The 25,538-nt window shown below is 43.9% G+C and overlaps 1 protein-coding gene across 4 annotated transcripts in view, besides 1 other annotated feature; it reads left to right on the top strand.

The window, feature by feature from the left end:
• The window catches only part of FBXO21 (F-box protein 21), a 48,480-nt gene that overhangs the window by 9,411 nt on the left and 13,531 nt on the right, over positions 1 to 25,538 (top strand). Inside the window, exons 4-11 of one of the 4 annotated variants that reach the window (NM_015002.3) lie at positions 3,419 to 3,540; positions 6,263 to 6,409; positions 6,719 to 6,855; positions 8,453 to 8,589; positions 13,983 to 14,162; positions 15,443 to 15,575; positions 22,997 to 23,187; positions 25,112 to 25,269. In NM_015002.3, the coding sequence (NP_055817.1) occupies positions 3,419 to 3,540; positions 6,263 to 6,409; positions 6,719 to 6,855; positions 8,453 to 8,589; positions 13,983 to 14,162; positions 15,443 to 15,575; positions 22,997 to 23,187; positions 25,112 to 25,269 (1,205 nt within the window). Of the gene's footprint in view, positions 1 to 3,418; positions 3,541 to 6,262; positions 6,410 to 6,718; positions 6,856 to 8,452; positions 8,590 to 13,982; positions 14,163 to 15,442; positions 15,576 to 22,975; positions 23,188 to 25,111; positions 25,270 to 25,538 lie in introns of all 4 variants that reach the window. The other 3 variants (NM_033624.3, XM_017019038.3, XM_017019037.3) reach the window with 3 other exon arrangements.
• Positions 14,736 to 14,785: a silencer, noted in NCBI's record as "silent region_4914". NCBI's record gives its function as "represses an Ori minimal core promoter by ATAC-STARR-seq in GM12878 lymphoblastoid cells {active_cell/tissue: GM12878}" and the evidence as "EXISTENCE:reporter gene assay evidence [ECO:0000049][PMID:35858748]".

Here is a 25,538-nt window from a genome sequence, read left to right as displayed (position 1 = left end):
ATGAGGGCTCTAGGGGAGAAAATATTTCATGTGTAACGTCTGTAAGACATGTCAGTATAAATACAATGCATCTGTTTTAAAAAATGAATGGACAGTGGGGGAGAACATATGCAAAATATTTAGCTGTTTTCAGTAATCATAAAAGTGATGAGTAATCCCAGCACTTTGGGAGGCTGAGGTAGGCGGATCACAAGGTCAGGAGACTGAGACCATCCTGGCCAACATGGTGAAACCTCGTCTCTACTAAAAATACATAAAAAAAAAAAAATTAGCTTGGTGTGGTGATGCAGCCTGTAATCCCAGCTATTTGGGAGGCTGAGGCAGGAGACTAGGTTGAACCCGGGAGGCGGAGATTGCAGTGAGCTGAGATCGCACCACTGCACTCCAGCCTGGCGACAGAGCGAGACTCCGTCTCAAAAGAAAAAAAAAAGTGATGAAAACATTAGTCTTGTTATTCTGAGGGCTGGTGTGTGTGTATGAGAGAGAGATGTGGAATGAAGTAAATGAATAACGATGTGATATTCTAATTTTACCACCTGTGATATCCTGGAGAAGCAGAATTCTCCTGGAATAAAGAAGACATAGATATAAGATAGAAGAAGGTCAGAGACATATATTTTTGAATTAGAAGTGCCAGTGTGAACTCAAAAGGTATTTTATATTTAAATACATGTAGGTATATGTAAGTGCATGTGCATATGTACATGTACACACACGTGCACATCAACACTAGGCTTCCTACGTCTGTTTGCTGAAAAGATCTAGAAATAATAACCAACCTAGTGGAATTGATCTTCCCTGGTTTCCAGATTGTCATCTTGATACAACATTTTCCACAAAAGAAGCCAGGGTTTTTGGAGAAAGACTGATTGTATGTCCAATGCAAGGATTTTAAAAGATGAGCCTGGTGGTGCATCCTGGAAACCTAACCAGATAGTAAGAAAACTGACACTACTTTATGTCGGAAGTATTGAGGAACCAATATGAAGAGGCTTCCAGTGGCCAAAGATGTGACAGTTAGAGCATCAGTGTGGATAATAACAGGAATGGATTGAAATGCATCGAATATGCTTGTCTCTCTGAGTCCATAATACTAAAAAATTAATTGGTCACCTTTGAAGGATAAATAGAAGCCCATATCATTGTTTTGAAAAATTGTAAATAGAAGATATGAGCATTTATCCTGCCTTTTCCATGTACTGTATCATGGGGGATCAAATAATAGACGGGGAGGTTTTTCCTTATAGAAGTATCCCAGCTAATGAATTAAGAAGGGTTGATTGAATTTTAATATCACCACTTCGTAACCTCAAATGAATGAACAGATCAAGACATTGAGTAGCAGTGCTGCTGACATCACAAAAGAAACACCCAGGCATTATTGCCTCCTGATGGGAGAATGCACTACCTTCTATGAAATTATCTTGCTAAATTAATGGAATCTGTATCTCATGTAGCCTCTACATCCAATTTACAGGAGATCAGAAGACAGAAGAACATGTTAAACTACATCATGTGGGTACAGTCAGCAAATTTCAGACGATGGGAAACTGCAGGTCAAACAACCCAGGTTCTTCAACAAATAAAATGCAAGGGAAAAAAAAAAGATGGAGGAGGATCCTGTAGATTAAGAGATTTAGAAGGCATCAAAACAGACTCGCCTGTTTAGGGATGTATATTTCATGGTAATACTAAAGAGAAAAGCAAGAAAGTGATGACCATAGAGGTGTGGTTTGTGATTATTGTTGCGGGGGGCCCCGGAGGGCTTCTTGGCCGTTTGCAAAGTTTTCTTTCTTGGCAAGAGTGTTAGATCCAGGAATGTGCCTTGTAATGATTCATTAAGCTACTTGTTTGTTTCACACAATTTTCTAGATTGATATATTTTACAACTCAAAGGTTAAAAAGTAGATGAAACATAGATCATTCTGCAGATTTTCATTGACCTCTCTCAAGATTGGCAAGTTGTTTGTTTCTTCATGATGTCAGCCAGATAAGTTTCATCACTGTCTCTCTCCTGCTTCTTATAATCCCCATATGTATTTGGGATATGTGGTGAAGAATTTTATCCACTCAACAAGTGTTATGGAACATCTACTATGTGCCAGATGCTATTCTAGGCACTAGGGATACAGCAGTGAACAACACAAAAAAAATCCCTGCCTTCATGGGGCTTATACTGTAGTGGGCGAGATGGGCACTAAGAAATTGGTTACATTAGAAAATGAAACATGCTATAGAGAAATATAATCGGGGAAGAAGGCAGGGGAGTGGTGAGGGGGTACCATTTAAAATAATGTAGGGGGCCTTACTCAAGGGGACATTTGAGTTGAAACCTAGGAGAAGGTGAGAACAGACTGCAGTCTCTGGAGAGAATGTTCCAGGCAGAAGAACAGGGCACTAAGGTGAGCACCCGCCAGACAGTAAAGGAACAGCTGGAATGCTTGGGTGGCTGGACTGAGGGGGAGTGGCAGGAATTGGGGTCAGAGAGGTAATGGGGCGAGAGTTCAAGAGACCTTTTAAGTCCTCCTTAGGACTTGGGCTTTTTCTTGGAGCGAGGTGGGAAACCGCTGGAGACTTGGAGGCGAGGATTGGGTGGCGTGACCGTACGTGTTACTGCAGTGCTCTGGCTGCCGTATTGAGGATGGACTGTGGAGGGGCCAGGTCTGAAGCGGGAAGCTGAGGTAGGAGGATGTTGCTGCAACACAGGAATGCTGATGGTGGTGTGTGGGAGTAATTGGGAAGTGTGCACATTTTGGATGTAATTTGAAGATAGTACCGATAGCATTGGCTGACAGGTCTTAAGTATGGCTTATGAGAGAAAGCAAGGCATCCAGGATGACTCGCAGGTTTTATGCCTCACTAGAATGATGGAGATGCCTTGATCAGAGATGAGGGTGACTCTGGGAGGGGAAGAAAGATGAAAGTGCTCAGCTATCTGAGTGGGATGTGGAGTAGATGGATAGTAGTTGATACAAAGGTCTAGAGTTCAAGAGAGAACTCTGGTCTGGAAAATAGGAGTTTTCATAATATGTGAAACCGTGAGGAACTCACCATGGCAGTGAGTGCCCAGGCCCAAGTGGCCCAAGCAGGGGGACCAGCAAAAGGTTCTAGATGCCTCCCCATCTTCTGAACCTCCCCCAGCTCAATTCCTTTTTCAGGCTGCTCTTCCATTTCCTTTTATGAAAGATACAGGCAAGTAAGTCTGAAGCCAGGCAGATAACTGTTCCTCAGATTTCAGTACAACTAATTTAGTATTATATTACAATTCAAAGACTGCTATTTCCATTATAATTATTATAAGAGAATGAACCAATTATATTTTTCTTGTTAAGCAAACTACATGGTATGTTAGTGTAATGTGAAAAATAGATAACTGAAAGTTTTCAAATCTTAATTCTTACTGACTTTTTGTTTCCAGAAAAGCTTTGACCTGGAAATACTACGCAAAAAAAATTCTTTACTACCTGCGGCAACAGAAGATCTTAAATAATCTTAAGGCCTTTCTTCAGCAGCCAGATGACTATGAGTCGTATCTTGAAGGTGGGTCTTTTCCCATATATGTGGACAGTAGTATTTCTGTAGGTAACTGATTAGTTTTTTAAGACCAGCAGAGGGAATTGTGTTCCTTGTGGTAAAGAAGTGAAAAAGCAAATCATGTTGCGTGGGCTTCTGCAGGTTGGATTATAGGGCCTGATCAATGAGGTAGTTCAAACTATTAAATTTAGAGCTAAGATTTTATCAAAGTCCACTAAAGAAATAGTGTTTTTTAAAGATGCATCATTGGCTTAAAATGTGAGAGTGATACTTTAGCTAATGAAGTAAATTCCTGTTTTTCCGAGCTTTAATGATCATTTCCAAATCAGAAGTAAATGTATCCAATTTTGTCTCCCTGTGACCTTGAGTAAATCCCTTAACCTCTCAGGTTGGAGTTTATTGAGGACAGAATGTTCTTGGGCATCAGTGAGTCTGCTTGTCCGTAATGAAAGGTGAGAAGGAAGAAGTTGAGTGGACAGGCAAGATGAAGGGAGTGGAGAATCTTTTTGTTCTTATTAAGTTGAACAGGAACAAAGTGAGACTTCCATTTTTTTTAAAATGATTTTGAATTCCTACAATATTACACAAACATTCCCATAAATTATGGTTATGAAATACAAATATGACTGGTCGTTTACTTTTATTCCCTACTTCTGATGTTTTACCAGATTGTTGATTTTTTTTTCCATTCCAGTGTATCTCATAGTCATGTTCCCATTCTGTTACTATTCCTTTTTTTAAAAAAAATGTATTTATTTTTAGAGACGGGGTCTTGCTATGTCACCTATGCTAGATTCAAACTCCCGTGCTCAAGTGCCACCACACCTGGCTGGCTTCTGTAACTAGTCTCATGCAGTCTATGGCCACCTCTCCTGGCAACAACTTTCTGAGTAATACTTGCTTTCATGAACATTACCCCCCCTTCCCTCCAAGTCAGCCAAAATACCAGTGCCAGCCCCATTAGAAATCTAGCCTTCACCACTGCATGTGAAACCTGCAATGTGGACAACTGATTTCCCTTTTATATTTAACCTCTACCTGCTTTTCAATGCCCTGCATAATCTGGTCCAGACCTTTGCTCCGTACTCTCCAGGATGTCCCATTTGCTCCAGCCAGGCCATTGTCTAGACTGGTGCCCCACAAATACACCTGGCTTCACTTCCTCATTCATGATATCCCTCCTTCTCATAATCCCTCTTGAAAATCCTACTCCCCCTCCATAATTCAGCTCAAGCCTCACTTCCATTAAATTTCCACTGACTACTTGGAGATTTTACTCACCTCAGAGCTACAGTAGCATTTAATAGTAAGCTGTCTTGCATTTTTTCTGTTTCCTGTGTATACATTTGTTTCTGTAACTAGTCCCTAAGCTTCCCGTGTTGTGGTCCTTGTGTTAGGATCACTGTATACCTCACAATGCTTAGTGTAAATGTTTATCAAGTGTATGAAAACCTAGTATCATCCAAAAGGAAATGAAACATCTGTTTCAGTTGATTAAAATAAATTCTCACTGCTAGAATCCCCTCATTTGTATACTGGAGTTGAGAAGCATCCTATCTTCTGTTTATTTCACAGTTAAGAATAGTATATTTTTTTGTAGCTTATGTATGAAAACAAATACTCCTTTTTCATTTTCTAAATACAAAGTTATAATTTTCAAAGAACTTCCACATCAGTGTCATAAGCATTGAGAAGCCATTGGAAGTTGTTTAGTAGTTGAGTGAATGACAGTTGGCTCTCCAAGTTTCTGATCCTTGGTGACTGACTGGAATAATGCTGATGCCATCGAAGAAGTCTGGGAATCATAGCATTAGGAAGGAACGGACTTCAGAAATGTGCAGCATAAACTGCTTCAGCTTCCAGGTAGGGAAGCTGGGGCCCTCGGAGGCCGAGGAGACAGTCCCTGGCTGGTGGCAACACTGGGACTGGGGTCGAGGTGTCTTGACACCCGTTCAACTGCTTTGAGCTCTGGAGCATTGGTAAGGGAGTCCAGGTTCTGAGCTGGTCTGAGATCTCTTTAATTTAAGGTGACTCGAGAGCTTCCCACATAACGGTGTCCTTACCCAAATGATGCTGTTAGCCCTTCAGTCTCTGCTTCCAAAATTACCTAAGACTGTGAAGAGGAGTGATTCTTAAGAGACTGTCTGCAGTGTGCTCTGCACAGCTTTTCAGCTGTAGGTTCCCCGAGCATAACTGTTTATCTCATTGGAAAGTGGGGTTAGCTCCAGAATCCATTTACTGTTCACCCTTGAGATGTGTAATTTGTTGAAATGGCACATCTGTCATGGAGGGCTTTCAAGTTGTTTTTTTTTGTTGTTTTGTTTTTTTAAAGGAACTGCCTTATACCATTAAGTTTTCAGAGTTGTTGGATTTGGAACCTATAACAGCTAGGGAGAGAGAAGTAGCTTGAAAAGATCTCCTTGATGTCATTTACTTCTCTTTGTAATAGAACATGAAACTGCGCCATATACCACGCAGTTTTTTAGTCCATGACTTCTGAGAGAAGTTTGATTTATGTATTTTTTTTTTTAAAGTTAAAGCTACTTTGTTATGAAAATGTTTGTTGCTCCTTCTCAGTGTGTTAGCAGCAAGGTCCATGGCCAAAACATGAAGCTTGTCCAGTGGGATGGTGTAAAGAGCCATGTCCCAGGATGTCCAGGGTAAAATTGCAAACTAATAAGAAAAGGGTAACGTGAGAATTTATTCGGTAATTCTTGTTCATTTTCAGGTGCTGTATATATTGACCAGTACTGCAATCCTCTCTCCGACATCAGCCTCAAAGACATCCAGGCCCAAATTGACAGCATCGTGGAGCTTGTTTGCAAAACCCTTCGGGGCATAAACAGTCGCCACCCCAGCTTGGCCTTCAAGGCAGGTGTGGCATTGCTTTGGATCCAGCTGTATTTATGAAAGAAAATCTAGAGGAATTGGTTAATTTGAGAGATTTGTTAGTGTGCTGCCATTATGTCATGAAAAAGTGATAAAATGACGTGACCACGTGTTTACCTGGTTGAAGTGTTGAACCTAAAACACTTCAAATACATACTGCCTTCTGCTTCCTAGATTGGCAACACTTGATTAATATTGTTAGGCCATTGCCAATGTCTTCATGTTGTGAGTTGTTTGGGGCACCTGTCACAACCTTTTTTGTGCTTGGGTCCCAGAGTAGATCTCTGTGTTTCAGGTGAATCATCCATGATAATGGAAATAGAACTCCAGAGCCAGGTGCTGGATGCCATGAACTATGTCCTTTACGACCAACTGAAGTTCAAGGGGAATCGAATGGATTACTATAATGCCCTCAACTTATATATGCATCAGGTAAATATAGGTACAGTAATATATGGGTATAGTAATATAGGTATAGTAACTTTTTTTTTCTGTTTTTAGAGACAGGGTCTCGCTCTGTTGCTCAGGCTGGAATGCAGTGGCGCGATCATAGCTTACCGCAACCTCAAACTCCTGGGCTCAGGCGATCTTGCCGCCGCACCCTCCTGAGTAGCTAGGACTACATGCCACCACACCCGGCTAATTTTTTATTTTTTGTAGAAATGAGGTCTTGCTATGTTGCCCAGCCTGGTCTCAAACTCCTGGCCTCAAGTGATCCTCCTGCCTTGGCCTCCCAAAGCGCTGGGATTATAGGTGTGAGCCACTGTGCCCATCCTATATGTATTTTTTTAAGCTTCTCTCTGATGGACCGTACATTCTTGAAGGTCAGTACTATGCCTTCCATCTCTGAGTGCTCGATGAAACTTATTTTTCCTTCTGCTGTAAGGATATTGTTGTGGAGTTTATCTGTTTCCTCATGGAGTATCCTCCATATGCAAACCCTTGAGATAAATTTTTGACTAAAAATAGATATTTCTCTGACTCTGTTTGGTCAGTTTGTATCTTGTGAACACTAAACTGTAAAACTAATCAGGGTCCTCTTTGCACTGGCCTCTAGCCATTTGGGAGAACCTGTGGCCCAGCTGTGTCAAGTTTGCATCTGTTATATTTATTTTTTATTTGCTTTCTGCCTAGTTCCATTTTCATATTTAGTTTGTTGCCCTGTCTGCTACTTTCATTTTATTTTGTTATATCGTACACACTTTTCCTTGGAACAGTCTTAAATACTTTCTGGAAGAAGGAGGGCCTAAATCAGGGCTTGACCAACTTTTCCTGTAACAGGCCAGGCAGTAAATTATTTCAGCTTTGGCCAGGCATGATGGCTTACATTGTAATCCCAGCAGTTTGGGAGGCCGAGGTGGGCGGATCACCTGAGGTCAGGAGTTCGAGACCAGCCTGGCCAACATGGCGAAACCCTGTTTCTACTAAAAATGCAAAAAAATTAGCCAGGCATGGTGGCGGTTGCCTGTAAACCCAGCTACTCGGGAGGCTGAGGCAAGAGAATTGCTTGTACCCGAAAGGTTGCAGTGAGCCAAGATTGCGCCATCGCACTCCAGTCTGGGCAACAGAGCGGGACTCCATCTCAAAAAAAAAAAAAAAATTATTTCAGCATTGAGGGCCATGTAGTCTCTGTTGTTAACCACCAAGTTCTGCCACTGTGGTGTAAAAGGAGGCACAGATAATATAAAAACAACTGAGCATGGCTGTGTCCAACAAAACTGTATATATGGACATTGAAATTTGAGTTTCATGTTACTTTCATATGTCTTTGAATAGTATTAACTATTTTTTCAAACATTAAAAAACATAAAACTTCTTCTTACACAGGCTGTACAAAAATAGCCGGTGGACTGGAATTGCCATGGACCATAGTTTACCCACCCCTGACCTAAATAAGTGAAATACTCACTTAAGCCTCACAAATGAGCATCATGCCCAATGCACAATAGGTGCCTAATGAGAATGTTTATTGAAAGAATGAGAACGTATAGTTCATCCCAGTGAAATAAAAGCATTTTTTCTGCTTTAGGTTTTGATTCGCAGAACAGGAATCCCAATCAGCATGTCTCTGCTCTATTTGACAATTGCTCGGCAGTTGGGAGTCCCACTGGAGCCTGTCAACTTCCCAAGTCACTTCTTATTAAGGTGGTGCCAAGGCGCAGAAGGGTGAGCATCCGTGACACATTATCTGTGGTCCTGAAGATTTGGTCCCTCTGTGCTGAGAGGCAGTCTGATTTTCATCATCAAGTTGGGTGTTACCACACAGGTTAAAAATAGGACTAGGGTGGTGATGGAACTGTTTTGTTTCCTGGCTGTATCAGTGTCAGTATTCTGGTTGTGTTATTATACTATAACAGTTAAGATGGTACCATCAGGGGAGACTGGGAAAAGGGTACTCTGGGTCTTTCTGTATTTCTTAAAACTGCATGTGTGAATCTACATTTATCTCAAAAAGTTTAATTTTAAAAAATAAGACTCTGATTTCAGGGTCCTCTGTGGTTCTCAGAGTCCCTTTGTTCCAAAGCAGATCAGATCAAAGAGTTCTTAAAAAAATTATTTCTTTTCATTCTTCCGTAAAATCTCCCCCTTTGTCCCACATGAGTGGGAGAGGAAGAGAGGAAGGGAGGGAAAGAAAGCAGGGGAGATTGAATAGGGTGGCCACGTTCCCCTTCAGGCAAGGTTGGTGACTGATGAGAATTTTAGAGACCTGGTTACTGAGTTCTGTTTTGTTCTTTTTTAAACCTAGTGCTCTGTAGGGCAAAAAGCTCATTTTCAGTTATAGTCTAGCTTTTCTGAAAGAAATAGTTCAACAGGTAGAAATATATTCTCATTAAATCTACAATTTAGGGGAAAAAGAAAAAAGTTATTTACCTATGTCCTGATCTTTGAAACTCTGTCTTAATGATTAACTCTGATACCCTTTAATGATGAATTGTGTGATAGAAAGTACCAGAGCTTTATAGTCAAACTAGGTTCAAACTTTGCCTTCCTCTGAGGAGGCCTGTTTCTTCCTTGGTAAAATGGATTAATGTTTTTTATAAAGCAGCTTGGAAGATTAAATGAGCTCACCCAGTATATTATATACCCAGGAGAGTTTCTGATGTGACATAGCAAAAAAGTACAATTGGTCTCTGTTCCTACCTCTTAGTTTAAGAAATAAAACATTACCTATTTAGTTGAAGCCTCCCAGGTACTCTTCCTCATCCCTTTCTCCTCTCCAGAGCTAACCACCAGTTTGAAAGTGTTTGTTATTTCTTTTTTTTTTTTTTTTTTTTTTTTGAGACAGGGTCTGGCTGTGCCACCCAGGCTGGGGTGCATTGGCGCAATCTTGGCTTACTGCATCCTCCATCTCCTGGACTCAAGCCATCCTCCCACCCCAGCCTCCCTAGTAGCTGGGACCACAGGCATGTACCACCACCACCTGGCTAATTTTTTTGTAGAGACGGGGTCTTGCCATGTTGCCCAGGCTAGTCTTGAACGCCTGAGTTCAAGTGATCCGCCTGCCTCAGCCTCCCAAGGTGCTGGGATTACAGGCGTGAGCCACCGCGCCTGGCTGTGTTTATTTCCATGCAAATGTTGATGGTTCATTACTTCTGTGTGTTGCCTTAAATACCCATACAGGCTTCCCTTGTGTTCCAGATATGTGTTTCTGAGGATGTACTGCATGGTTTAATTTTTGGATAGTGGGGACCCAATTTCCATTATTTTAAGTGGGAAAAATGATTTTTCATCCCATTCCCTCTCCCCAAATAACCCAACCAATCTCCCCAAGTATCTCCAAAATATTCTTAAATGCCTATGTAATAATCCACCAAAGATTTCTGTACACTATAAAACATTTAAGACACCAATTACCATGTCATTTGCCACGATAACTTACTACAGGGTAGGATTGTATGCAGTTAACATCATTTTTCCTTCGTGTGCTACAGCAGACATACACTATAATGCAAATGAACAATGAAATAATTTAATACCCCCTAGACATGTGACAGAAACAAGCACTGAGCCCCATAAGGGACTCAGCCCTCAGGGACAAGGCAGGAGCTGCTGGGCTATGGCCCTTTCTGTCCTTTTCTCTTCTCTCTGCCTTTGGCCACTTTTCTCTGTCCCTGTACCAAGACCATATTTTCTTAAGCACTGTAACTTTATAATTATCCCTGATATCTGGTAGGATGAAACTCCAGCTAGTTCTTCAAAATTGCCTTGGCTGTTTTTAGCTTTTGCTCTCCGTATAGATTTAGAATCAGTTTTGTCAGGTTCTTTGGAAACCCTATGTGTCTGTTGATTGGAGCCAGGGATTACTTTGAATTGGAGTTCTAGATTAATAGGGGGACATCGCCAATGTCTCACTATCAGTCTTTCTGTGAACATGGACCACTCTGTTTAGGTTGTCATTACTGGCCTTAAAAAGATGTTATCTTTTTCTTCATCAAGCTAACATCTTGTTAGATTTATTCTTTGGTACCTTCCTTTTTTTTTTTTTTTTTTCAGTTGTAAATGGTAATTTTTAAGATTACATTTTTTTAAGTATTAATGATATACAGAGATGTGGTTGCTATCTAGATACAGTTTGGATCTTCAGTGCCTTGGCTGAATAAATCGTTAGTGCTAATAATTTGTCCATTCCTGGCTTTTCTCTGTGGATAATCATAGTATCTGTGAATAGTGACAATTTGGTTTCTTCTTTTTTGTAACTATATATATTTGTTTCTTTCTCTTGCATTACTCTGCTGGTTAGATCTTTTTGTACAAAGTTAAATAAAAACAAAGATAGCAGGGACTCTTGCCTTGGGTATGATTTTAAATGGAATGCTTTTACAATTTCAAAGCCAGGCACGGTGACGCACGCCTGTAGTCCCAGCTGCTTGGAAGGCTGAGGTGGGAGGATTGATTGAGCCCAGTAGTTCAAGGCCAGCTTGGGCAACATAGCAAGACCCTGTCTCAGAAAAAGAAAACCAAAATTCACCAGCAGGCATGCTGTTGGGAGCAGTTAGGGATTATGAAAGCTACCATCTAAATTCCTACTTTGCTAAGTTTTATTAATAGCTAGGCATTTGATTTTTTTTTTTCAAAATTCTTTTTCTGTGTCTACTCATATGATAAGGTTTTTCTCTTTTAGTCCATATGTTTAGAAGTATATTTTTTTGTTGTAATAGAATTTCTTTTTTTAACTTTTAAGTTCAGGTGTACATGTGCAAGTTTGTTACATAGGTAAACTTGTGTTATGGGGGTTTGTTGTGCAGATTATTTCATGCAGGTATTAAGCCTAGTGCCCATAGTTATTTTTCCTTATCGTCTCCCACCGCCCACCCTCTGATAGGCCCCAGTGTGTATTGTTCCACTCTGGGTCCATGTGTTCTCATCACATAGTTCCCACTTATAAGTGAGAGCACGCAGTTTTTGGTTTTCTGTTCCTTTGTTAGTTTGCTAAGGATGATGGCTCTAGCTCCATCCATATCCCTGCAAAGGACATAATCTTGTTCTTTTTTGTGGCTACATAGTATTCCATAGTGTATATGTGTCATATTTTCTTTATCCAGTCTATCACTGATGGGCATTTAGGTTGATTCCAGGTCTTTGCTATTGTGAATAGTGCTGCAGTGAACATATGTGTGCATGTGACTTTATAATAGAATGACTTATATTCCTTTGGGTATATATGCAGTAATGGGATTGCTGGGTCAAATGGTTTAGCTGTCTTCAGGCCTTTGAGGAATCACCACACTCTCTTCCACAATGGTTGAACTAATTTACACTCCCACTAACAGTGTATAAGCATTCCTTTTTCTCCACAATCTCCTTAGCATCTGTTACAAAATAGATTTTTTCATGTTCAACTCTCCTTCGATTGTTGCAGCACATCTAACTTAATCACTTATTTGTAAAATACATTGCTGCATTTGATTTACTCATGTTTTATCCAGGATTTTTGCATTTATGATAGCTCATAAATGATCTTGGCCTAGAAATTTTTGTACATTTGTCCTTAGGAAGTTCTAGCCTCATAAAAAGAGTTTAAGAGTGCCTTGTTTCTAGAACATTTATGTAATTCTTATTTTTTTTTGTACTTTCCTCATAGGTTTATTTATTTTATTTTTTTTTATTTTTTTGAGATGGAGTCTCACTTTGTCACCCAGGCTGGAGGGCAGTGGTGCGATCTTGACTCACTGCAACCTCCGCTTCCTGGGTTCAAGTGATTCTCCTGCCTCAGCCTCCCGAGTAGCTGGGATTTCAGGCATGCACCACCACGCCCAGCTAATTTTTGTATTTTTAGTAAAGACAGGGTTTCACAATGTTGGCCAGGATGGTCTCGATCTCTTGACCTCGTGATCTGCCTGCCTTGGCCTCCCAAAGTGCTGAGATTACAGGCGTTAGCCACCGCACCCAGCTATATCCTTGCTAAGGGTAGGTTATAAATATGACTCAAGGAAGAAATTCGACTGGACTTTTTTAGCAACCAAAGAGAGGAATATGCTACGATTTGTAGTGGGCTTCAGATATAAGATGAAACAATAGCTCATAAGAAACACTAATATCCCTGAAACAGAGCCACCTGAATCCTCCATGAGGATTCCATGAGTCCTCACAGAGAATGGGCCTGGCAGTTCAGTGAGAGCTTGCATCATGTGACCACTGCTCAGCATTGTGCTCAGCGAGGGCCAGCCCCAGCATACTAGTGCAGTTCGAGTGCAGGTCACAGAAAGCAGAAGAGCTGCAAGAAGAGCTGTGTGATCAAGGCCAGGGGCACAGCTCTCTGTGCTCTAGCACAGGGTTCCCAGCCCAAGGCTGTGATGGGCTCAGCAGGTCTCTGACCACCTCAGCATGTCAGCAGAACTGATGGCCGAATCCTTCTGGTGTGAGGTGCTGTAACTTTTTTTTTTTTTTTTTGAGACAGAGTCTTTTTCTGTCGCCCAGGCTGGAGTGCAGTGCAGTAGCGTGATCTTGGCTAACTGCAAGCTCCGCCTCCCGGGTTCACACCATTCTTCTGCCTCAGCCTCCCGAGTAGCTGGGACTACAGGTGCGTGCTACCACACCTGGCCAATTTTTTTGTAGAGACCGGGTTTCACCGTGTTAGCCAGGATGTTAGTCACAATCTGCTCACCTTGTGATCCACCCGCCTCGGCCTCCCAAAGTGCTGGGATTACAGGTGTGAGCCACCACGCCCGGCTGAGGTTCTGTAACTTTCTTCAGATCATCCAGGGCCCAGGATCCACAGACGGTTACCTGCTGCTAATCTATGGAATTAACAGACTGCCTCAGGCATTCCATAAATCTTTATCTTAGCTGAACTTGTAGATACTCCTGGCAGTGAGTTTTAGTCTTCCTAAAGAACGCTATTAGATGACATACATTGGTGCTGTTTCTTAAATGTCAGTGTGCTGTGGTCTTAGCAGAGCTTGCACAAAGGGGTCAGATTTTAAACTTGGACAAGACCTTCATATTGTAAGTAGAAATGTTATGGTCTCAACCTTCAGCCCATGATTTGAGCTACTTACTGTGGAGACTTAAAATAATGAGTTGTTCAGCTCTCATCTGATATTTGGCTCTTTGGATAGGGCGACCCTGGACATCTTTGACTACATCTACATAGATGCTTTTGGGAAAGGCAAGCAGCTGACAGTGAAAGAATGCGAGTACTTGATCGGCCAGCACGTGACTGCAGCACTGTATGGGGTGGTCAATGTCAAGAAGGTGTTACAGAGAATGGTGGGAAACCTGTTAAGCCTGGGGAAGCGGTAAGGTTTTCTTGGTTTTCTAGTACTTCTGCAGAGCACATGTCTTTAGAGGCTTGAATTGTGTTTGAGATGTGCCAAGTGACTTTTCGTTGAGATCTTTGCAGTAGACCCTAAGAAGTTCTCTTTGCGAGTACTGGAAACATTCTTCAGTAACAAGAATATCTTAGACTAGGAAAGATATTTTTCAAGGGCAAGATCTTCTCATATCCAAATGCTTTGCCGTCTTTTAATTTATACCTTCCTATCATTAGATAAGAAAACAAAAATATGAAACTGTCTTGTTTCTAAGTCCAAGAAAATTTGTCATATAGGGAAAGTAGAAAGTTGTAGACTATATTATAGTAATAGTTTTATGTCTAATGACAGAATTCTTTTTTTTAATAGACTATTTTTTAGAGCAGTTTTAGACTAACTGCAAAATTGAGCAGAAAGTACAGAGAGTTCCCATATCCTCCCTGCCCTACACATGCACAGCCTCCCTCACTGTCAACATCCTCACCAGAGCAGTGCATTTGTTGCAGCCAGTGAACCTGCACTGACGCATCATTATCACTGAGGGTTCACTCTTGGTGTCATATATTCTGTGTGTTTGCACAAACACATAATGACATGTGTCCCCCTTTATAGTATCACACAGAGTAGTTTCACTGGCCAAAAATATCCTCTGTGCTCCGCCTACTCAGAATTCTTTTTTTTTTTTTTTTTTTGAGACATAGTTTCGCTCTTGTTGCCCAGACTGGAGTGCAATGGCGTGATCTCAGTTCACCACAACCTCTGTCTCCTGGATTCAAGCGATTCTCCTGCCTCAGCTTCCTGAGTAGCTGGGATTACAGGCATGCGCCACCACGCCCAGCTAATTTTTGTATTTTTAGTAGAGACGGGGTTTCTCAATGTTGGTCAGGCTGGTCTTGAACTCCCAACCTCAGGTGATCCGCCCGCCTTGGCCTCCCAAAGTGGTGGGATTACAGGCATGAGCCACTGCGCCCGGCCTTCAGAATTCATTTTTAATTATGTACAGTGTTATTGCAGTGACTGCTTAGTAAAAATGCTTCTGATTTTAATTTAGTACCCATCACCAAAGTAGGGCACAAGATTTATATTTATTGTGTATTTTTTTTTTCTTAAGAGCATTGTATCTCTTCGTTGAGCTGAGAAGAAATACCAGAATCAGAAAACGTTTGGGATTTGTGTCAATTATATTTAAAACCTGGGCCTTGAAAAAGAGAGTCTTTGCTGAAAAAACAAGCAGGATGAGACAAACATTGTTTTTCCTCTGCTAGGGAAGGCATCGACCAGTCATACCAGCTCCTGAGAGACTCGCTGGATCTCTATCTGGCAATGTACCCGGACCAGGTGCAGCTTCTCCTCCTCCAAGCCAGGCTTTACTTCCACCTGGGAATCTGGCCAGAGAAGGTAATTATTTTACTTTGATGCTTTGCACTTGCCTTAGAAAGGGAAGTCCTAGATTGAAGGGTGCCCGTGACAAGCTTATCTTTGTGTTAACATGGGGAATAAACACAAATTTATTCAGTCTCCCAATCATAACCCATTGGTAGATTTTTTTTTACTTCTCTTATTCTAAGGAAAATTGGTTCCACTGCCAGGAATTGCCTGTTCTCTTTGTGGTCAGCTCCTTAAACCCTAGAACCACAAAGCCTCTGTACCCGCTACTCAACCACTGGGGCCCTCAGATCGTTTTCCCCAAGTCACCCTCACTCAGCAAGGGAAAGCACAGCTGTAAATGGTCAACCTCCAGCTGTACTGTTAGCAACTACATTGGCCATGAATAAGTACTCCTGTTTTCACAGGAAAATTGGATCTTAGATATGTTCAAGTCCAGCCACTGGACTAGAGAAGGACTTTCTGAAAACCATTGAATTTTGACACTGTTTCACTTGAATTTTCTCAGTTTTTTAATGGCCCCCTTTGGGCAGCAGCATGCCCTTTCAGAAGGCTGCGGTGTTTACCTCCGTGAGCTGTGTGGCTGCAGCACATGGAGAGGCCCGTTGTGTATAATGGTGCAGGAGCCAGCTGCACATTCCCACCATGCCCTGGCCCTTCTCTGGAAATATGTGAATAGTCCTTTTTGTTTGTTTAGAGCAGAATTTAATTCTGAGGTCTCACAGGCCATCAACATAAACTCATCTCCCTGTGTCATTAGAGAGGGGTAAAATCTTCCTTGAAAAAGTAAATATTACAAGTGACTCTACATTGCTTAAATTTAAAGTCTCACTGATTCACAACTTCGGAGATCTAAAATAGTTCTAAGAAATGATGCATCAGTAGGAAAACCCCAAGGCTCCTGTTTTAAGAAAAGATGTCAGCCGGGCATGGTGGCTCATGCCTGTAATCCCAGCACTTTGGGAGGTTGAAGCAGGTGGATCACCTGAGATCAGGAGTTCAAGACCAGCCTGGCCAACATAGTGAAATCCCATCTCTACTAAAGTACAAAAATTAGCTGGGCGTGGTGGTGGGAACCTGTAATCCCAGCTACTCAGGAGGCTGAGGCAAGAGAATTGCTTGAACCCAGGAGGCGGAGGTTGCAGTGAGCTGATACCATGCCACTTCACTCTAGCCAGTGCAACAGAGCAAGACTCTGTCTCAAAAAAAAAAAAAAAAAAAAGAAAAGAAAAGATGTCATCTGTAGCCCACATAGAAAATGTCCTCCCAGAATATATGTGTAATGTGGTAGAGGAATTATTGGAAAAGAAAACTTTCCACCAAAGCTACCAACTACTTGTCCAAGATGTAATCATTTATTTTCATTTTATTTATGTATTTTAATTTTTTTTTTTTTTTAAATAGAAACTGAGTTTCACCATGTTGCCCAGGCTGGCCTTGGACTCCTGGGCTCAAGCCCATCTTGGCCTCCCAAAGTGCTGGGATTACAAGTGTGTGCCACCACACCCTGCCTATTTATTTATTTATTTGGGGTTTTTTTGGTTTGTTTTTTTGAAATGGAGTCTTGCTCTGTCGCCCAGGCTGGAGTGCAGCGGCACGATCTCAGCTTGCTGCAGCCTCTCCCTTCCAGGTTCAAGCAATTCCCCTGCCTTAGCCTACCGAGTAGCTGGGACTATAGCTACACCACCACGCCTGACTAATTTTTGTATTTGTTTTAGTAGAGACGGGGTTTCACCATGTTGGCCAGGCTGTTCTCGAACTCCTGACCTCAAGCAGTCTGCGTTCCTCGGCCTCCCAAAGTGCTGGGACTGCAGGCGTGAGACACCACACCCAGCCCCTGCCTATTTATTTTTGATACCAGGATATATATACACTTTTTACTTTAGACTTGTTAAGTTTTTATGAGATGCAGAGCAAAGCAAGTTTCTTTTCTTCTTTTTCTTTTTTCTTTTGTTTCTTTCTTTTTGAGACAGTCTCACTCTCTTGCCCAGGCTGGAGTGCAGTGGCGCAATCTTGGCTCACTGCCACCTCTGCCTCCCGGGTTCAAGTGATCCTCCTGCCTCAGCCTCCCAAGTGGCTGGGATTACAGACACGTGCCACCACGTCTGGTTAATTTTTATATTTTTAGTAGAAATGGGGTTTCACCCTGTTGGCCAGGCTGGTCTTGAACTCCTGACCTCAAGTGATCCACCTGCCTCGGCCTCCCAAAGTGCTGGGATTGCAGGCGTGAGCCACCGTGCCCGGCCTGCAAGTTTCTTTAAATGTAAATTTGATAGTTAAATTTTGAGTCATTGTCGAAGTGATGCTATTAACATCCCCTTTTAGGGGGAAATCTTGACATTTGCTGCTGGAGTCCATCTCTTGGGTGACCCCTCATTCAGAGATTAGGGGAGAAAAGTGGCTCATTGCCAGCGCATGTGTGACTGCCTACCCTTAATAAATGCATAATCCCGCTAGGGCCCCTGAGACAGCCAAGGAAAACTCTGGGACTCCCAGTGCGGAAGAAGCCAGGGGGTGCTGAAGAAATCGGACAAGGTTCCTCTCCAGAGGAAGGGTTTCAGGTGTGACCTTGAAAAATGAAAAACAACTTCAGAGGGCAGAAAAGTACGTGACTCCAGTCAGTGGGAACAGCCTGCACGTGGTCCAGGGGTGGGAGGGTGTGGCGCCTGCAGATGTCAGCCTAGCACGGATTTCTATGCTGATGAGTGTGCAGTTTGAGGTGTATTTTTACATATGTGTGTATAAAATTGTTACGGAGTGTGAGACCAGTTTGTGGAAGGCTTTGAGTTTATCAAGTGAAAGGGAGACATTCCTGAGCTGGGAAGGCCTGAAGGTTGTCTTGTTATTGATTGAATTAAATCAGGAAGAGCTAAGAAACATCAGCCGCCTTGGTCACTGTCACAGTAATGCAGGGTTATGACGGCTGTATGGACATAGAGAGGGCGGGATGGTGAGATTTTAAGTCGGGAGTACTGACTGAACGCCTCCTTCCATCTTCTTAGCAGCCCTATAGGGTAGATATTATTTTTCTTTTTGCCATATGGGAAATAATGAAACTGAGGCAGGGAGAAGTTAAATAACTTAGCCAGGTCTCCTGCACATGCCGTGACGGCACTAGGAGTTCAGTGCAGGCAAGCTGATGCCCTAGCCCACCCCATGCGGCATCCCGTGGTACAGTGGGCCAAGGCCAGAGCGCTTCTGAAGAAGCCAGCACACAGGCACCTTCTCCTTCCTGCTGCCAGACCTTCGTCCTCATCATGATCCATAGTTCTCCTTTCCCTCTTTCTCTTCCTTTCAGTGGAAAAGGTATCCCTCCAATTTTCCAAGGCAAACACCCCTCTCTTCTATTAGAAGAAAAACAAAAAGCACTCCCTGTCTGCCCTGCAGGAATTTCCCTGGGTTGCCACCTTTCCTCCTCCCCAAGAGCTGAAGCTCTTAGTCTGCCTCCCACTCACTCCCCAGGACATCAGGACCCGTTCCCATGCCTCCTCCATAGGCACTGTTCTTGCCAAGGAAGCCAGTGACCCTCTTTGGCTGAAACCATTCTCCTCGTTGATAAATGCAGTACATACTTTTTCTTTCTGTATCTTGCCCTGTCACTGCAGGCTACTCCCTTCTGGGAACACTCGGTTACTTTTGCTCTGTGGTCTCTGGTTCTCAGGCTCTTGCTATTTCCTCCCTTCAAGGCTGAAGGATGGTTTCTAGACGTCTTCTACCCTGCACCTGTGCCCTAGGACAGTTCCCCTCTTCTTGTGTCAGTTTCTGCCTGTCTGCTGTGGCTGCTGGAGCACTGGACCCCTGCCTGGACCCTGGGCTCAGACCAGCATATCCACACACCTGCTACACCCCTGCACGTGACTCTGTCTCCCAGACGGGTGAAAGTCGACCCGCTGAGACCAGCACTTCTGCAGCCCGAAGCAGTGCCCTGGCCTCCTGCTTGTCCTCCCTCTCTGGACTCTGAGCCCCTGTGAACCCGCTCTGTATGCAGGCCAGAGGAATCTTAACAAAATATCAATTAGGTCCCTTCACTGCTTAAACCCCTCAGGGTGGCTCCCCTGTTGCCTTGAAGACCAGACTTGCTCTCCTCCGTGTGGCTTTTAGGTTCTCGGCGGTCTGGCCCTGCTTGCCTGATGCTCCCCACCTCCCGTGGAGTTCCTTGGTCCTCTCCTGCACCCACTACTTTTTCTGTGTGCCTGCACTGTCTTGCTTCAGTCTTTTGCATGTGCTGCGTGTCTGCCCAGGGCCTCTGCTCATCCTCAACTCCATTTGCTGGCTCACTTCTGCCCAGCTGTCAGCTTAGACTTCTGCCTCCTCTGAAACCCCTTCCCTGGTTCCTGTGTGCGGCCAGGTCATGTTTTCCCGTCGTTCCTGTGCTTGCCCTTCCTAGAGCTTTGTCCAGTCTGTGGTAGCTGCTGCTCCGTCATCTGTCTCCATTAGAACATGTTCTTTAAGGACCAGGACCAGGTCTTGTTCCTAACTGTCGCCTTCCCCACGCTCTCAACACAATTCCTGGCCCATGATAGGAGCTCAAAAAATTGTTTAAATGAATAATTAAGAAATAACTGCCAGGTGCAGTGGCTCATGCCTGTAATCCCAGCACTTGGGGTGGCAGAGGCAGGTGGATCACTTGAGGCCAGGAGTTTGAGACCAACTTGAGCAACATGACAAAACCCGGTCTCTACCAAAATAAAATACAAAAAGTAGCTGCACGTGATCGCATGTGCCTGTAGTCCCAGCTACTTGCGAGGCTGAGGTGGGAGGATCTCCTGAGCCTGGGAGGTCAACGCCAAGGCTGCAGTGAGCCATGATCACATCACTGCACTCCAGCCTGGGTGACAGGGTGAGACCCTGTCTCAAAAAAAATGTGGCAGAACTTCATTAGATATGAATAAAGAAGACTCAAAGGATGTCCAGATTTTTCAACACGGGGGCAGTTTATGCCACTCTGAAAGTAGGTATTTGGAGAGCAGGCCTGTTTTGGTAGTAGGAGAGTGTTTTGTGTGGGGTATGATGCATTCATCCTGACCTGAAGCCATCGAGTGCAGATGCCCAGTAGCCTTTAGCAGGAGCTCCCAGCATCAGCATCTGGTAACTGAAGCCCCAGAAGTAGCGGATCCATAGACAATGGATCTCAAGAAAGCAGAGCCAAGAACTTCAGAGAGAACCTTAGAGGGAACCTGGAATTCAGGGACAGAGCAGGGGCCAGCAAACTATAGCTTGTGGGCCAGATTCACAAAGCCTGTTTTTGTGAATAAGTTGTGTTTGTTTACTTATTATCTATAGCTTTTTTCAAGCTACAGTGGCAGAGTTGAGTAGTTAAATCAGGGACTGTGTAGCCCCCAAAGCCTAGTGTCTCTTCTCTAGCCCTTTACAGAAAAAGTTTACCAACCCCTAGGCTAGAGGGAGAAGAGCAGTATAGGGAAATGCATCATGGGTAATAGACCCCAATCCAGGATCTCCACCCCAGAAGTGGTGATCTTGCGGCATTCTAGCCCTAGAGTATTTGGTGGGGACGGCATGGTGCCTGGGTCAACACTGTCTGCAAATACGCCAGGCCCCGAGGCACAATGTCTTCATTTCTGCCCTCTCCCTTCGCGCTCAGCCACACATCCAGCGAAGGTGGGGGTAATTATCCTTGACCTTATCTAGACTTCCTCTGTTCTCTGACGATGCCAAGTTCTGACCATTTTACTTATCTGATGGGGAGGTGGCTGCTAGGAGAGAAGGGGAGCTGTGTGTGTGGAACACAGTGGAGGGGCAGAAAAAGCGGCTTGTTGGTACTCTTTCAGGCCACAAGGACAGCCATTATGCAGGCACTGTCAGTAGGCGCTTCCTATTAAAGTAAAGGGTAAATCTGCGAGTGTCCCACAATTAAAAGCACCCGGCTGGAGGTAGAGGCACAGGGGGATTGGCTGTCTGTTGATTCTTGTCAAAACTGGGTTTGGGGTACTTGGGATTATACTGCTTTGTCCATTTTTATGTGTTTGGAACTTTTTGTAGTAGTTAATTTAAAATGCTCCTGCTCTTGCTAGGATATGACACTGGTTGAGACCAAGAGTTGATCTTCACACCCAGAGCCACAGCCTCACTCCACCTCTCCACAACCCTGTGACCCCGGGAAAGTCACTTCACTAAGCCTGAGTCCTGTTCGGGAAGTGGCAGTGATTAAAAGCTTTTTTTTTTTTTCCACCTAATCCTCCCAATTTGAAGATCAAGAAATTACTGACCTTCAAATGGGAAGGATTAAGTGAAACAAAAAACCTGATGGACTTGGCACAGTGACCAGCAGAGAATAGTGTTCAGTAAATGTTGAGGTCCAGCACGTCGCAGTCTGAAAGGCAAGATAATAACATGGTGCATAAAACTGGAGTTTTCACAATACTTTGACAGGCTCACAATGCATCAGCAAATAGGACAGTGATTACTCATGATTTGATAAGCTAAGAAAGGAATTCAGAGGTAAAAACGCCAGCTAGTCTGACCGATCTGGGCCTAGAGTCCAGGTTGCTGTAACGCACTAAGCAGGCTGTAATCCAGGACTCAGTAAATTGGAAGGAGAACCTTGTCAGAAATTCTATGCTAAGGGCTGTAAACGTAATGGGTGCGAAATAATTGTATGTCTGTGTCTTTTTAAACGTGGAGTTTTTTCCACAGAGGCACTGTGTGCAGTAGAGGCGGTAATAGTGGAGTCAGACAGGGCTGCTACTCTGTGCTACTAGTTTAACCTCTGCATAGATGTAGTTTCTCCTGCTGCCTGCTGAATACCAAATACCATGATGAGTTAAGACCACTGAAGTGACCAGCAGGATTTTAGAACTCTGATATACGTGGCTCCCTCCTTCTAGTGTAGCTTCATAAACTCAACGAATGCATCCCTTTGGTGCCCACTCTGTGACCTTTTCCATCTTTTCCAGCACTGAGGCAGTTGTGTCAGACATCCTCTTCGTCTCGATTAAAGCAATTTAGCATTTTTTTTTCCCCTCTGAATTCGTGAGTGGCAAGTGAAAATCATTCCTGTGTATTGAAAAAACGTGGATTCTCACATTTCCCATGCCGACCAAGCATGCTAGGTGCTGTTAGAGCCCACCTCATCCAGAGTGCCCTAGGTGGTGGGCCCTCACCTGCGTCCCCAGCGCTTATCCCAGCACACTGGTTTCCAAAGAACTCCTCAGGTTGACACTGGTTGAATTGGGGTATCCTGGGCCAGCTGCCAGTGTTACAGTAGAGCCCAACCCTGGGCATCTGCAGTGCCGATTTGGTGGCGGTCCATCAGAGGATGGTCCAGAGACCTGGACCGGTTCGATCAGGGCATAGCCACCCCTTTTGGTCCTTTGCTTTGTTAGGTTACGTAGGTAGGTCTAAATCCCTCGCCGCAAAAAAGAAAAGGCCTAGCTGAAAATATTATCTTTTAGTCTTTCTGTCTTGTTTTGAAGGTGCTTGACATCCTCCAGCACATCCAAACCCTAGACCCGGGGCAGCACGGGGCGGTGGGCTACCTGGTGCAGCACACTCTAGAGCACATTGAGCGCAAAAAGGAGGAGGTGGGCGTAGAGGTGAAGCTGCGCTCCGATGAGAAGCACAGAGATGTCTGCTACTCCATCGGGCTCATTATGAAGCATAAGAGGTGAGTGCCCGGGATCATCTGTCCTGCAGTGTCCGTTCCAGAGGGGCTGCAGAGACACACATGCACCTGGTGAGCCCCCAGGACACAGTGGAGGAGGAGCTGACTGGATCACTTATCCCCCGAGTGCGCACCGCGGGGAAGACAGAAAGCTGAACCTCTTTTTTTTTCTTTTTGAACCGTGTCTTTGACCTTTGTGTTTTTTAAGCAGCAGCTTACTTTCCTGAGAGATCTTCTAGTGTTTTTAGTGGCCTTTAGATGTTTGACCCTTCTCTGTGTGTGAGAACATGGAAGTAACTTTGTAAGACACGAGTTTTTTCTCTCATTTCCTCATTGTTCTTATATCTTGTCACTTAATCTCAGTCTCTTCAAATCCGATAGGCACTTGGTCTATTTACCAGGCAAAATTAAACTGTATCCAAAGTGATTGGAGCAGTTTACATCCCACCAGCAGGCTGGGAGCCTGGAGTTCCTATTCTCGCCTGGTGCTATTGCCAGACCTTTAAAAGTGTACTTACCTGAGAAAGGGCAAATAGTGTTTCACTGTGGTTTTAATTTCTGTTTCCTGGGTTACTAAACACGTTAAGGTTCTTTTCATATATTTACTGGCTATCCAAGTTCCAAATTTCCTTTTATTAAGCGCCTATTCAAACATTTCATTTTTCTTTTCTTTTTTTCTTTTTTTTTTTTTCTTTGGAGACAGTCTGGGTCTGTTGCCCAGGCTGGAGTGCAGTGTTGTATCTCAGCTCACCTGCAACCTCTGCCTCCCAGTTCAAGCGACTCTCATGCCTCAGCCTCCCAGGTAGCTGGGACTACAGGCGCACACCACCACGCCTGGCTAATTTTTTGTGTTTTAGTAAAGACAGGGTTTCACCATGTTGGCCAGGCACGTCACTAACTCCTGACCTCAAGTGATCTGCCGTCTCAGGCTCCCAAAGTACTAGGATTACAGGCGTGAGCCACCACACCCAGCCCATTTCGTGTATTTTTTTCTATTGAGTTATTAGTCCTCCCTAATATGATATGTAGTTGTTCTTCTGTGTATCAGTATCTACATGACGATAAGTTGCAAATATCTTTTCCCAGTTTTTGGCTGGTGGTTTTCATTCTTTATTGCATTTTTTTAAACTTTTAAATGGAAATTTGCAAAGATTTATAAGAGAGAAAGGACTATAAGGAACCAGGTGGTGTTCCTGTCATCCAGCCTCAACAGCTGCCATACGGGGTGAATCTTACTGTCCCCTGCACCCTCCAGACCTTCCTCCCTGGGTTAATTGACGCAAGTGCCAGATGCCATTTCACCTGTAGCGATTTCAGTATGTACCTCTAAAAGGCAGGGGTGCTCTCTCCTTCTCTGTCTTTTCATATTTAACATCTTATTATCACATCTAGAAAACCCCAGTTCCTTAACTTCATGCAGTATCTAATGAGAGTTCCTATTTCCCCAGTTGTCTCATATTTTTACATGTTTGGATCAGGATTTGTTAGTCTCTTGGTTTTAGTGATGTCAGATTGGTTAGTCTTTTCCTTTACGGCTGTATTTTTAGTGCCTTGTTTTAACAAACCTTCCCTATCTTGAGTCATGAAGATACTTTCTATTTTAGAAGTTCTGCATTTAACACCTGAGTCTTTGCTGTACTGAGAATTGAATTTGGTGTGCTGTTGTCAGGCCAGGTCCCCATACCTTTTTCTTTTGGGTAACCAGTTGTCATCTAATCACTTTTTGTTGAAAAGTTTATTCTTTTCCAGATAAAGTGCTATGTTGATAATAAGAGGTGTTTATAAAAGGGGTTAGGGGTGTCCTGAAAAATGATTCACCGTGGAGTAAAGCAGGTAACTGAGGATGTGAGCTGAGAAGCCACGCGGTTGTCTGGAGGTTGTTGCGGCCGGGTCTGCAGGGACTGACTGCTCCTCCTGTGTTAACTAGGTATGGCTATAACTGTGTGATCTACGGCTGGGACCCCACCTGCATGATGGGACACGAGTGGATCCGGAACATGAACGTCCACAGCCTGCCGCACGGCCACCACCAGCCTTTCTATAACGTGCTGGTGGAGGACGGCTCCTGTCGATACGCAGCCCAAGGTAAGCGGCGGGTTCCGCTTGTGCCAGTGGCCCCGCGGGCGTGTTTTCAGCGCACGTTTGAGCCCTCGGGTAGGTACTGTGGGCGTGGGCCATCGGTTCCTTCAGAGGCGGCCGACGCCCCATGGCCGGCCTCCTTCGGGCCCACAGTCAGCTAAACGTGGCTGGGTCTGCACAGGTGCCGCCCTGGCGAGGGGTCAGTAGTCATACCCGCCCTCCCCCAGGGCCTCCGCTCCCACAGCCCGGACATCTGATTGGCCACTGTCTATGCC

Source organism: Homo sapiens, chromosome 12 (genome assembly GCF_000001405.40).
Source record: "Homo sapiens chromosome 12, GRCh38.p14 Primary Assembly".
In the NCBI taxonomy this organism is placed as follows: Eukaryota; Metazoa; Chordata; class Mammalia; order Primates; family Hominidae; genus Homo; species Homo sapiens.
Note: the sequence above shows the minus strand (reverse complement) of the source record. Positions and strands in the feature narration are given on the sequence as shown.